Consider the following 14,633-nt stretch of genomic DNA (forward strand, 5'->3'; position numbering starts at 1 on the left):
AAAATACAAAAATTAGCTGGGCATGGTGGTGCACACCTGTAGTCCCAGCTACTCAGGAGGCTGAGGCAGGAGAGTCACTTGAACCCAGGAATTGGAGGTTGCAGTGAGCCGAGATTGTACCATCACATTCCAGCCTGGGTGTCGCAGTGAGACTCAGTCTCAAAAAAAAAAAAGAGAGAGAGAAAGAATGCTTGCTATGTGCCAGACACAGTTCTATGCTCTTAACATATCTATTAACTCATTTAATCCTCAACACATCCCTGTGAGGTAGATGTTAATATAATTACCATTCAAAAGATAAGGAAACAGAGGAACATTGAGTTAATAATTTGCCCAAGGTCATCTGTCACTTTATACATAAGCAAACTGAGGCTCAGAGTGGCTTAGTTATTTATTCAAGATCACACAACTGGTATGTGGCAGAGCCAGGATCTGAACCAAAAATTTCTGATTGACCCTAAACCCTATGTTTTTTCTATTAAACTCTGCTGCTTCCTATACTCAGAAACACACATAACAAGATGGTTTTCCCTAATAAATGATTTGTGATCTCAACCTATTTCCCCTACCATTCTTTGATGGGTTCTAATTACCATGTCTAATGCTTTTCTCTTCTGGAGGCTGCAAAATTGTTCTGTAAAAGACCCGATAGTAAATATTTTAGTTTCTGCTGTAACTACTCAACTTTACTGTTGCATCACACAAACAGCCATGGACAATGTGTGAACAAATGGGTGCAGCCGTGTTCCAGTAAAACTTTATTTATTTTTTGAGACAGGGTCTCACTTTGTCATTTAGTGGCACGAACACGGCTCACTGCAGCCTCAACCTCTTGGGCTCAAATGATTCTCCTGCCTTAGCCCCCCAAGTAGCTGGGACTACAGGCACATGCCATCACACCCAGTTAATTTTTGTCATTTTTGTAGAGATGGGGGTTTGCCATGTTGCCCAGGCTGGTCTCAAACTCCTGAGCTCAAGCAATCAACCTGCCTCGGACTCCTAAAGTGCTGGGATTACAGGCGTGAGCCACCACATCTGGCTACAGTGAAACTTTACAAAAACAGGCAGCTGGCTGGATTTTCACCCGCTGGCTGTAGATTGTTAACCTCTCTAGTTGCTTAGTGGGCAGGGGTTTTCTGACCTCTCCCACACTTAAAAAAACTTTTTTGAAATTATTATTTTGTAAATATTATTATTAGAACTAAAATTATTTTATATATATTAATATTACTATCATTCCCAAATGCTTTGTTAAAATTAAGCATTTGACGTTTTTACCCTCTGTGATTAGGCATCAAGGGAGTTTATGTTAAAATGTGAATAGAAGCGGGTTAACTTTCACTTTTTCAGTCTCTCAAGAAGGAAAGACTTTATGCTTCAATATAGTTTGAACCAGAAATTGGTCTCTATTTTTATTTTTTTCTGTTCTACTGCAGATGCCTTATCTCTGGATAGTTTTACAGCAGTTCCAACCCTGGAATCAACACCTTTCTCAGGTGTAGCCAACCAAATCCACACTCTGTGTGAAAGGCCCACATATGGAGAAGTAAAGGATGGTGCTTTGGATGTAAAAAGACAACACAAGTAGGTTAAGAGCAAAATTTACTTACTCTACTCCTCATGGGTGGCCCATTCCCATTGCCTAACATTTTAATTGGTCAGATTTTCATAACGTGAGATCACATCTTTATTGTCGAACTTCTCTAACTTCCTGAAAATTTACAATTTCTTTCTTTCTTTTTTTTTTTTTTTGAGATGGAATCTCGCTCTCTTGCCCACACTGGAGTGCAGTGATGTGATCTCGGCTGCCTCCCGAGGTCAAGCAATTCTCATGCCTCAGCCTTCCAAGTAGCTGGGACTACAGACGCATGCCACCATGCCCAGCTAGTTTTTGTATTTTTAGTAGAGATGGGGTTTTGCCACGTTGGCCAGGCTGGTCTCGAACTCTTGGCCTCAAGTGATCTGCCCTCCTCGGCCTCCCAAAGTGCTGGGATTACAGGTGTGAGCCACCACGCCCAGCCGAAAATTTACAATTTTGAGATAAAGTTATTGCTGTAGTTTTCTTGAAGTGTAGTTTTCTTGCTTTTCTTGAATTTCATAATACCACTCTAAAGCTTAAAAGACAAATTAGACTACCTAAAATGTTTCCACTTTTTAGGACTATACCGTAGACTGCTAAGTTAACATAGGTAGATTTTGATCATAATTCTCTTTCTTTCACATTCAAAGTTAACACATCTTTGGGAACCTGTCCTTGTCCCTGCACCCTACCCTCTTCCTCTTTAAGTACACAGACTAATCTTCTAATCTAAAGGAAAAACACACTCACCAATGGAGTGTTTTTTCCTACTGTAGTCTCAATACCACACTTCTGATACCAGATGTGTGGGGGTTTTTTTCCCCACACTCCAAGCAATTTTCCACACACCAATCACTTCTCCAGCCGACATGAAATGGGCGTCCAGTAATTCAGTTCAATTCCAACGTTATCTACCTGGAAATAGCATCCGATTCCACAGGTTAAGGGCTCAGTTCCACAAGGCTGGTCCCTGCTTGAGATGCCCCTTGCAGGTTCCAGACTGTGACCTGTGCTTCTGACCAACTCTCTATAAATTGGGGGTTGCCAAGATCCCCTTCTTGGGTTCAAATAATTTGCTAGAGTAGCTCACAGAACTCGGGGAAACACTTTCCTTACATTTATCCACTTACTACAAAGTTTATTTTATTCATTTATTTATTTATTTAAATTTATTTTTTTGGAGGCAGGATCTCACTCTGTCACCCAGGCTAGAGTACAATAGTAATTTGGGCTCACTGAAACCTTGACTTCCTGGGCTCAGGTGATTGTCTCACCTCAGCCTTCTGAGTAGCTGAGACCACAGGTGCCTGCCACCACACCCCGCTAATTTTTGTTTTTTTGTTTGTTTTTTGAGACAGAGTCTCACTCTGTTGCCCAGGCTGGAGTGCAGTGGCATGATCTCGGCTCACTGCAACCTCTGCCTCCCGGGTTCAAGCAATCCTCCTGCCTCAGTCTCCCAAGTAGCTGGGATTACAGGCCCTTGCCACCATGCCCAGCTGATTTTTGAATTTTTAGTAGAGACAAGGTTTCGCCATGTTTGCCAGGCTGGTCTTGAACTCCTGACCTCAGGTGATCCACCCACCTCAGCCTCCCAAAGTGCTGGGATTACAGGTGTGAGCCACAGCACTTGACCTTGTATTTTTCACAGAGACAAGGTTTCTCCATGTTGCCCAGGCTGGTCTTGAACTCCTGGACTCAAGTGATCCTCCCATCTCAGCCGCCCAACATGCTGGGATTACAGGTGTGAGCCACTGTGCCAGGTGACAAAGTCTATTTTAAAGGATACAAATGAACAGCCAGATGAAGAGATACATCGGAAAGGTTTGGAAATGTCTCGAGCACAGGAGGGTCTGTCTTTGTGGAGTTGGGGTGTGCCATCTTCCCAGCACATGGCTATGTTTTAGTTCACCAAATCAGAAGCTTTCCAAGTGCTGTCCTTTCAGGTTTTTATGGAGGCTTTACTAGGCACGATTGATTAAATCATTGGCCATTGGTGATCACCTCAGCCCCCTCCCCTCCCAGGAGCTTGGCAGGGTGGAGTTGAAAGTTCCAACGCTCAAACCACAGATTGGTTCCCCTGGCAACCAGCCCCTCATCCTGAGGCTATCCAGAAGCCCACCAAGAGATACCGCGTTAGAACAGAAGATGCTCGTAATACTCAGGAAATTTCAAGAGATTCAGGAGCTTCGCGTCAAACACTCCTATCACTCGGGAAATTACAAGGTCTTAGACACTCCGTATCAGGAACCAGGATCAGAGACCAAATATTAGAGTAAAGATTCCCCTAGCACCTCTGTCTACAAGGATTTTAGGAGGTCTGTCTCAGGAACTGGGGGCATTGATCACAATATCAACGACATCCTCCTAAGTTAACTTAGACAGGTTTTGATCCTATTTCTGTTTCTTTCACACTCAAGGTTAACAAGCCTTTGGGAACCTATACCTGTCCCTGCCCTCATCCTCCTTCGGTGCTCATTTGCACCTGCCTTTTTAAGTATACAGACTCATCTTCCTTAGGAAACATTAAAAAATGTCAGTGCATTTTGTGAGGGCCTAATCTACCTCAATAAAATTTCCCTTCTATATTGAGGGTGAGGAAGGATGGCTTTGAATTGCAAATGCTTCATTTTCATTTTTGACTGGATTCTCTGTTGTTTGTAACCTCTCTCTGATGGAGGTGGGAACTCTCTTTCATTATGTGTTACTTAAACCATGAACTTAATTAGAAATTTGATAAAATTAGGACTGGGCGTAGGGGAGTGAGAACCATGTTATAGTTTAGTATCTGCTAAGATTTGCAGTTTTTTCACCTGTAGTAAATAACTCTACTTCCTACTGCCAGGTGCCCAGGCCCCACAAGTGGCCCCAGCCCAGGAACGAATCTCTCAGGCTGCATCAGGATGAATGATGACCCAAGTATGGAAGTGAGTGTTGGACTGGATTTTGGTTTCATTTTCAGTATTACCATATCCTGTTCTTCTTCTATGGGTATTCTTTTTCCCTGTCTTTTTTATTTTTTAAGTATTATGGATATTCTTGTAGCAAGTCTGAGTCTGCTATTCCAAAACTCAGATGCATGAGAAATAGCAACCTTTGAAGTCAAGAAATTAAAATTATTTAATATGAGGGCTTTCTACCCTGTGTTTAGTATGCACTGTGGGTTATAGAACCAAAAAGAGATTTCAATGAAGTGAGCTAAACTTTTTGTTTGAGAGGCAGGCTGGTTTGGGACTTAAATTCACGAATGACTGTAAGAAGCCTCAGATCCCATTGATTCTCCAAGAATTGAGGTCGAGGCTGGATAATCTTTGAGGGGCTGGTACCCTTTGTCAAAGACCACAAAGCACGGCCATGCCCATGGAGAGTAGTAAGGTATTAATTGGCAAAGTTAGGTGCTAATGCCACTTTTCTACCCAAGAAGAGAATAATGCTAAATGACCTGAGAAGGTCACTTAGGTCACTGTCTCTATCATTGAGATGTGGTTGGAATGCCTTCCACAGTCTGCACCCTGAGCCTCGTGATCTTCTCAATCAAACAGAGCAGGCAGTTCTGTTTCAGGATCTGGCAGTCCATCATTCTTCTTTCTTTTACATTTTAATTGAGATATAATTCACCCACCAGACAATTCATTAATTTAAATTATTCACTTAAATGACTTTCAGTATATTCACAGAGTTGTACAACCATCACCACAATCGGTCTTAGAATACTTTGATCACCCCAGAAATAAACTGCGTACCCATTGGTAGTCTCTCCCTATTTCCTCCTGTCCCCAACCCCCAGCTGGAGGCAACCACTAATCTACTTTCTGTCCTATAGATTTGCCTATTCTGGACATCTCATATAAATGGATTCATACAATATATGGCCTTCTGTGCCCAGCTTCTTTCAGTTAAGGTTCTCAAGGTTCTCAGCATAAGGTTCTCAAGATTCATCCATGTCATAGCATGATATCAGTACTTCATTCATTTTTATGGCTCAATAATATTCCACTGTATAGATACACACCACATTTTGTTTTTCCATTCATCAGCTGATGGGCATTTGAGTTGTTTTTACTTTTTGGCTATTGCAAGTGATGCTATTATGAGCATCAGTGTATTGGTTTTTGTGTAAACATGTTTTTAATTCTTTTGGGTGTATTCCTGTGGCAGAGTTACTGCATCATATGGTAACTCTATGTTTAATGTTTTTGAGGAACTGCAAAACAGACTTCGAGGGTGGCTATATCCTTTTACATTTCCAACAGCAATGTATGAAGATTCCGGTTTCTCTGTATCCTCATTAAATATTTGCCTATTTTTTATTAAAGCCATCTTTGTGGGTGCAAAGTGATACCTCACTGTATTTTTGATTTGCATTTCTCTCATGATTAATAATGAACATCTTTTCATGTGTTTGTTGGCCATTTGTATAACTTCTTTGGAGACAAGTCTACTCAGATCCTTTGCTCATTTTAAAGATGGGATTATATTTCTTTTCACTATTGAATTGTACAAGTTGTTGTTATTCTTCCTGTTGAGTGGGTATATGGCATTGTTTTTGTTCATAAATACCTGTCTGAGCAGCTAAGAAAAAGGAAATGAATCTATTTTGCTCTTACCTAGAGGCCAAGGTGGGCGGATCACTTGAGGTCAGGAGCTCAAGAACAACCTGGCCAATATGGTGAAACCCCATCTTTACTAAAAATACAAAAATTAGGTGGCGGGCACCTATACTCCCAGCTACTTGGAAGGCTGAGGCAGGAGAATTGCTTGAGCCCAGGAGGCAGAGGTTGCAGTGAGCCGAGATTGCGCCACTGCACTCCAGCCTGGGTAACAGGAAAAGACTCCATCTCAAAAAATAAAAATAAAAATAAATTGAAAATTTTTAAAAATATATCTTGCTCTTACCTAGCAATTCTTATAAAGTTTTAGTAAAGGAAGTTGAACTTGGAAGCTTACAGGATGTTTGGTTATTAGTAATTTCCCTTTTATCTGGCACCGAGTTTACCAAGAAGAAGGAAGAAACAAATATCAGTTGTGTGCCAGGAACTTTGTACAAAAGCATTCCCACATGCCATGTGATTAATCTGCTCCACACTTCTCTGCTTTTTACAAAGGAGGCAACTGAAGTTGAGGGAGTTAAATAACTTGCCCATGATCACTCAATTAATAAATAACAAACCTGGGATTAAAATTCAGATTTGTCCAGCTTCAAAGGATACAGGCCTTTGTCATGGCTACTCTTAGTACACTGAATTTAGACATTTTAATCATAATTACTTAGCATTACCTTGAAAGTATTTTTTTTTTTTTTTGGCTAAGAAATGTACTGCCTTTTATATCTAAAAGGACCTCCATATTGACTCTTATTAGGATATGTGACTGCGTGGTTTTGTCTGTGCTTCACACCCATTAAGAAATAGGAGCTGGGCTGGGCGCAGTGGCACACGCCTGTAATCCCAGCACTTTGGGAGACCGAGGCAGGTGGATCACCTGAGGTCAGGAGTTTGAGACCAGCCTGGCCAATGTAGTGAAACCCAATTTCTACTAAAAAATACAAAAATTAGCCAGGCATGGTGGCAGGCGCCTGTAAAACCAGCTCCTTGGGAGGCTGAGGCAGGAGAATCACTTGAATCCGGAAGGAGGAGGTTGAGTGAGCCGAGATCGTGCCATTGTTCTCCAGCTTGGGCGACAAGAGCGAAACTCCATCTCAAAAGAAAAAAAAAGAAAGAAAAAGAAAAAAAAGAAATAGGTGCTAACAGACATCACAATCGAGCCTCCAGTCACATGCTCCTGTAAGTTCCCTGAAGATTTTCTTGTGTCTTCTGTAGTTTGCAACAGCCCAGGAATTAGTCTGTTGGCTGCACCTTCTGACTGATCCCACCAATTCTCAACCTTCCCATTCCAGGTTTCTGCTCCACTGGAGAATCTCAACAGCCTGGTAACTGTACTCTCTGCCTCTGACCCTTGTCCCTTGAGCAACTCCCCACCTACCATCATTTTATACTCACATTATCTCTTAAGAAAATAGAAAGCTCTCCTTAGAAAACGCTTTTCTAAGCATTGTCATTGGTAATAATTACAGGGAATTAGAGTAAAATATAAGATATAAATTATTTTAAAAACATAATATATGTTTATCATCCCAGTGGACACCCCAGACGATGGGTGTTTTCTTAACTCCTTGTCTCTAAATGATGGATTCTGTCAATCTCTACAGCCTTATAACAAACAACTTGACCTGGTATTGGAGTCCCTCTCTAAACTGGTTGCAGTCTACCTTTTTACCTTTATTTCCCCATTGTTGTGTATGGTTGTGCCTGTACGTCAGCCAAACCAGGTAGCCTATATTGTCAGAATATATCACGCAAACGTGTTTGTGCTGTTTTCTTTGCCCAGAACAATGTATGCTTTTCCATTTATCAAAATTCTATTAGACTGTCAAGCCCCATTTCAAAAACCAATAAAAACTTTTTTTGTGGTAGCATAAAATGTTGACATTCAAGCATCTCCAGTCCTTCTTGAGGTGGAAATCATAATGGATTAAGAGTGGGGAGATGAGGTTTTTCTGTGGGTTGGCCTCTGTGTGAGTCTGGGAAAGTCGTGTTTTCAGGCCTGTTTCCTCATTTCTCAATGATCCAACTCAGAAAAAAACTAAGCTCACTTCCTTCTTTAAGACCCTTGTAATTCTCTGTGCCCCACATTTCTTGTCATCTGTATGCTGGTTTGCATTGTAGTTATTTATTTTCTTATATTTATTTGTGTATTAGGTGATAAAATTGCTGGACAGTACCTTTATTTGGCCATTAACCAATGCGCATGTAGCACCCTGCATAGGATTATATACAGTAGCTGCCCAATAATATTTGTTGAATGCCTATTTATTTAGGTTGTACTCACTACAACGTCTGTTTAAAACACTGAGAGTGAGCACTCAATTAGCTTACTGCTTTCTGACTCATTTCTTGGGCTGGTGCTCCTAAGAACTTGAGATTTACTTTCTGTTCCTTCCCCATATTCACAGAGGAAGCTGTCTTCTAATATCTTTCCCAGAAGGCACAGTGCAATATAAAAGTGAACATCATTATTCATAAGCAGGTCTTTGGGAGAGCAAAGAACGCTAACAAGGTTAATGTCTCAAAAAGAACATCTCAAAGTAAAATAATTTGGAGCCCTGTTTGGGACATTCTTGAGGAAGAAAGAACTTCTTTATTCACCCAATAAATTAGTTTATTTGGGATATTCTGGTGTAGTTAGGAAAGAAGGAAACAAATTATTTCCAGTCCTTATCTTTTGGAGATTCATTCTGAAATATTTACGGATAAAAATGTTATGATGTCTGCCATTTGCTTCAAAACAAGGTTTAGAGGGTGAGAGTTTGAAACAAGATTGGCCATAGGTTGGTAATTGTTGAATCTGCATGACGGATATACCAGGATTCATTAGATTCTTTGTTTTGTCTACTTTTGTATTTATCTGAAATTTTTCCTAGTAATGCTCTAGAATCTTTAGCCACATAGCATAGGCTGTAGAATGAAGCACATCTAGATTGAAGACTGGCTTTATTACTTATTAGCTGTGTGAACTTGGACACATGACCTAACCTGTCTGAATTTGCTGTGTCCCCTGTGAAATAGACATTGATTTTCATAGTTCTTTTGAGGATTCAAATAAACACACACAAATACTTTACATATATACATATATTTCCACATATCTGTATCACTGAGTTCTGGCCTAACCTGTCCATGGAAACAAACCAACTAGGTCATATGTAGAGGCAAGACACTGCCTCTCAATGCCTTGTTTCCCCACTTGCTGATGACTAAGAAGGCCTTTCCTTTCATGGAGTCATTTCCCAACATTTCCAGTGAGTTCCAGAGGTGAATACCAAATATATCCCCATGTTCTTCAGGCCTCACCGACTAGTGGCTTCCATGCAGACTTTTAACCTCTCGAGAAATTGTGGGGCCAAGAAGTTGGTTTCACGACTCATGTCTCTGCAGTTCTTTTGGTTTGTTGTCCACACTGTCCTATGACAACAAAGTTGATTCTTCCTTCTATCTTACTTCAGTCTCAACTCTGACCCCACCAAGATACTCTGTAACATACGCAAAATACCTGAATCATAGTAAAACCTCAAAAAGAAAATTAGCTGGTCATATTTCCCAGAATCAGAATTATCAGCAGCATGAAGGCCAGAGTATATCTTGAAACAAGCCAATGATTTGGAGATGAATTTCTCTGTTTTTCTTTTGGCTGTTAAAAAAATTACATATACCAAATATTAAGTGTCTTGTCTCTCTTTGCGTTATCCTTCATGTTATTACATGCTTTTGTCTAAGATGTACTATCACTGGGAGGCGGTGATTTATTAAGGCCAAGAACAGGATCAATTTAAAAATATCTCAGAAGATTTTCTGGCTATTGTCTGTCCTGTTCTTCCAAGTTGTATGTGGGTGCAGCATTAATAACCTTGGAGAATAAATAACATTGCCAGTTGCAAAATTGGAACATGTAGAAGTTGACTGATAACTATATTATAAATGAACCTGAAAGTGGTGGGTGTAACCTGTAGATCTGAGGGTGTGGTATACCTTTAGTTAGAAAGAGAAAAAATAAATGCAAACCTATAAGCAAATTTAGCTTTGTTTAGGTTCCAGTAGTTCTAATCTTTTAAAATTCAACTTAGCATTGTTCCTCTTTTTGGAACATTTAAACAGACGCTGAGTCAAGTCAGAAGTAAGTCTAATAGACTCTTTGTTAAGTTATTTTTTTGTTCTCAGAAAATCACGTTTATTTAAGTATCAGTTATCTAAAATGGGTCAAATAGTAAACATTACATTGGAACCATAAATATTTATTAGTAGAAGGTTTCTGATCACAAAATCTGTAGTTTAGTATTTCATATAAAAGAGCAAAAATAAAATAATCCTGGGATATTAGGCCAATTAATCTTAAAAGTTATTTTTTATTGTTCATGTTGTTCAATCTAAATATTGAAATAATATTGCTGTGTGTGTGTATGCGTGTGTGTGTGTGTGTGTGTGTGTGTGTGTGTGTGTATGTGTGTCTCCTGTGTTTGCTGACCCAGCCCATGGGAGAATCTGTTTCATTTTTTCCATGAGTACTTTTGCTACCCCACCCTACATTAGACTCTTGCTGTCAAAAGCAAATGGGCTGGACCATGGATTTTTCATGTAAATGTTATGCAGGTTAATATTTGAATGGCTTGGACAGAAAGAGCATTCTCCCTGCTCTGTGCTATCGGCATGTGTTAGATTCATTGACTTGAGCCAATCTTCTACATGTAAGTGAATCTCTCATCTGAACTTTCTTTTTCTTATTCTTTATTTTCCTTGATTTTAAATTATATCTAGTAGATTATCTTTCTCATGATCTGTCCAGGTGTCACAGTTGGTGCGTGCTGGTTATGTTCTGCTGTGGGCCTGGTTTGCTGGTTTAAATAGAGGTGGCTTTAGAAGCTAGAAGAAAAGAGCCCAAATGTGGAAAGTTTTTGCCCCAACCCCTTGAGGGTTTCATCTCCAGCTTTCATGAACTGTTGTCCTAAATTTGAAACCAGATCAAAAAAAAAATCTTCTTTACTCTAGTTAGTCTCACAAGAAGAAAAAAAAATTGTCATTAGACCAAACTTGTGAAAACTTAGGATTGGGATATGTTGTATATTGGGTTGTTTTCTGATTACTGACTTTTACAAAGATGAGTGCTTTGAGAATAACATCCAGTTGCTTACCTTGCTACTGTTCCACAACAAGGTAGTATTAAATGGCTACTAAACATAGGCAATTTCTCCAAAATCACATAATTATTTGTTTAATCAATAAATATTTTGTATTTATTGAAAGACTTCTAACTACAATGTTTCATATCTAACGTATAGGGCAAAAGAAGGCCTTACACAGAGCATTAGGGCAAATGAGACTGATATGTAACATAATGGAGGCAAACTGTATTTTTACTGTATTTATTACTTTGGCTTTAAATACTAATTAGACCTTTTTTTGAAAAGGTTTGCAGAAATGATGTACTCTCTTTTCCCCAAACTGGAAACTGGCATAATGGAATAGAAAATAAGAACTGCATTCTCTTTCATATTTCTTAAATATGAATACCCATGATCTTGACAGGTACAAAATGAAGGCTTTTCTGACAAGTGTGTAGTGTTTTTTAGTTATAGTGCAATAATAAATGTTATTTCATGCTACAGATAGTAACAATGTGTTTATATGTGTTAGGATATTATACTTTATTATTATTAAGAAATCAATTCTTATTGATTTTTATGAAGGGTTACACTCAATAAAACTGAAGGATATTTAATTTTCTCCTTTTTTTATAGCTTCCTTTCTTTTGTTTTCTTTCTTTCTTTTCATTTTTTTTAAAGCAGGGTCTTGCCCTGTCACCCAGGCTGGGGTGCAGTGGTATGATCACAGCTCACTGCAACCTTAACCACCTGGGCTCAAGCAATCCTCCCATCTCACCCTCCCAAGTAGCTGCAATCGCAGGTGTACACCACTGTGCCCTGCTCATTTTTTAGTAGAGATGGGGTATTGTCATGTTGCTCATGTTGGTCTCAAACTCCTGGCCACAAACAGTCCTTCCACTGCAGCCTTCCAAAGTGTTGAGATTGCAGGCGTGTGCCACCGTGCCTTGTTCATTTCATATATATATGATATATATATGAAATATATATATGATATATATGAAATATATATGATATATATATGAAATATATATATGATATATATATGAAATATATATGAAATATATATGATATATATATGAAATATATATGATATATATGATATATATATGATATATATATGAAATATATATATGATATATATGATATATATGAAATATATATATGATATATATATGAAATATATATACACATAATAGTATAGTTAAATAAACATAAAAATTACTAATATAATTTATTTAAATATTTTAAAATAGGGCCATTATCACGTAACTACAATTTAAGGTACAGTTTCTCTTTAAAATTGAATTCAGATATCCCCACGCTGTTAATTCTGCCCTGTGCATATTACTTTCCTCTGTGGCATGCTGCTTATAAATTGTAGAGTAGGATTTGTATTATATATTTCTCTCCATGCTTGGCCTACGGGCTTCTTCAGGATAAGAACTGTGTGTTTATATATAATCTTTAGCCCTTGTCCCTGTTCCTAGCACAAAGTGGGCTTTGGATGAAAGTTTGTTGAATTAAATTAAACTGGTGTCATGAGGGGTTTCAGTCATGTATGAACTGACCCAAAGTCACTTAAGGCAGAAACAAAATGAAGTAAAAAAGAGAAAAAGTTGACCAACATCATTGATGCAGAAGTAGGTATAAATCCTCGCTTTGCAAGTTCGATTGTAGATTTTTCTAAACATTTGAGGTGAACATCTTACAAGTCTACATTAAAAATCATCAACCAGTCTAAGACAATAATTGGGAAGTCTTTTCCTCTCCAATAGCCTAGGTTAGGGTATGCCCAAGTTGGTTTTGTTTACAGTGGAGAAGACACTGTATTTAGTTCGATATGTGTTTGAAAGCTGACTCCACCATTCTGACTGGTCTTGGGAAATTACCTTATTAACTGGCCTTCATTTCATTACCTGTAATAAGTAAATCTTTTCTTGCTAAAATCTGCTAAGGTTGTTGGGAGAATTAAATGAGATGATATATTAAAGGGCTCTTGTAAATTTTAATGTACTAAACATATATAAGCTACTATCATTGTACTGGATAAATACAAATTCAGCAAACCCTTAGTAAACCTGTACTTTACTTGTCTGTGACTATGGGAGATACTTTCTGGGACTGATTCTAAATACTGTGTTTGATATACAATATTCCCCCATGGGAACCTATTGTTGGTTGTGACAGTTAGTAAGTTCTGATTATGGAATAACTAAATGCCTTCTTTTTACTTTGTGTAGGTTTTCCATATGTCTGAATGATTTCAGTTTTATTGAATTTTAATTTATTTTTCTAAACTAAATCAAATAATTAAAATAATATACTAGAAAAGCTTGTTATTAGAAATGAAACTATGTTCTCACTGTATTTTTTGAAAAAGAAAGTTGTACAACTTTAATGCCCTAAAGTTACCCCCAAAATAGGAATTCCTTGTAGAAATTAAGAGGTTCATAGAAACTTTCAAACACTTGCCCTGGCAGGCTGGGACTATAATTTTGTTAAGCTCTTTTTGAGAATCAAGTAATAGGTGCTAACTTAGATGTAATCCTTCAGATCTCTCAGATATGGATTAAGTTTGAAATGCATGATTTTTCTAGCTAGAAAACTAAGAGCAATTTTAAAATTACCAGGTCAGAAATTTTAGGTTGAGTGCTATTCCCACACATAGAAATGTTGTTTCATGCCCTTGTAGAATTTTCTGTTTAAAGAAAACTTGACTTAAGCGTATGAAATAAACCCTATCTGCCATTTGAGTTTAGAATTTGTTTTGCCCAAAATTTTTATCAGATTTTTTTAAATATCAGACTTGTAAATATACTTAATATTGGATTTTTGGGTAAGTGCAGCTTTGAGGAAGTGTGTATATCCATCTGCCCTATACCATCCCATTCCCATATCCTTTCCAAAAGAGCTGAGTAAATATGGGTTCATTTAGAATTGTATGAAAATGTTTGCTTAAAACAACCTCTTTGGAATGGAAAATGTCAAATTGTTGAACTTATGTCTCCTTTCTTTTTCCTTAAGGAGAATGGTGTTGAACGCGTGTGTCCTGAGAGCCTGCTGCAGTCCAGGTTTGCTTGTTTGTGTTGTGTGTGTGAATTTGTATGCATATTTAGTTGGTTTTAAGAGAATTATTTGGACCTGACATTCCAAAACATGTTTGCTATCTTTTTGGCAGGGAATATTCCTCACTACCATTACCCAGACACACTTCATCGACAGACGGTACTATAACTTCAAGTGGTAAGTGGATTTGGAAATAATATTAAAATAGACTGTTAGTATTACAGCTTTCAGCCTGATGTTCTGTGACCTGCTGGGGTGTGAGCAAATGAGAAGAAC

The 14,633-nt window shown here is 38.2% G+C and overlaps 1 protein-coding gene across 21 annotated transcripts in view; it reads left to right on the plus strand.

Moving 5' to 3' along the window:
* IRAG2 (inositol 1,4,5-triphosphate receptor associated 2) overlaps positions 1 to 14,633 on the plus strand; it is a 110,761-nt gene that overhangs the window by 67,354 nt on the left and 28,774 nt on the right. For 13 of the 21 annotated variants that reach the window (NR_159368.2, NR_159369.2, NR_159367.2 and 10 more), the window contains 4 exons: positions 1,437 to 1,584; positions 4,422 to 4,503; positions 14,316 to 14,362; positions 14,470 to 14,534. Coding sequence is in view for 14 of the 21 variants with exons in the window: in NM_001394803.1 (NP_001381732.1) it covers positions 1,437 to 1,584; positions 4,422 to 4,503; positions 14,316 to 14,362; positions 14,470 to 14,534 (342 nt within the window). In the remaining 7 variants the exon portion in view is untranslated. Of the gene's footprint in view, positions 1 to 1,436; positions 1,585 to 3,227; positions 3,321 to 4,421; positions 4,504 to 10,811; positions 10,875 to 11,594; positions 11,713 to 14,315; positions 14,363 to 14,469; positions 14,535 to 14,633 lie in introns of those variants that run through there. The other 8 variants (NM_001366545.2, NM_001366543.2, NM_001204127.2 and 5 more) reach the window with 5 other exon arrangements.

Source organism: Homo sapiens, chromosome 12 (assembly GCF_000001405.40).
Source record: "Homo sapiens chromosome 12, GRCh38.p14 Primary Assembly".
Classification (NCBI taxonomy): Eukaryota; Metazoa; Chordata; class Mammalia; order Primates; family Hominidae; genus Homo; species Homo sapiens.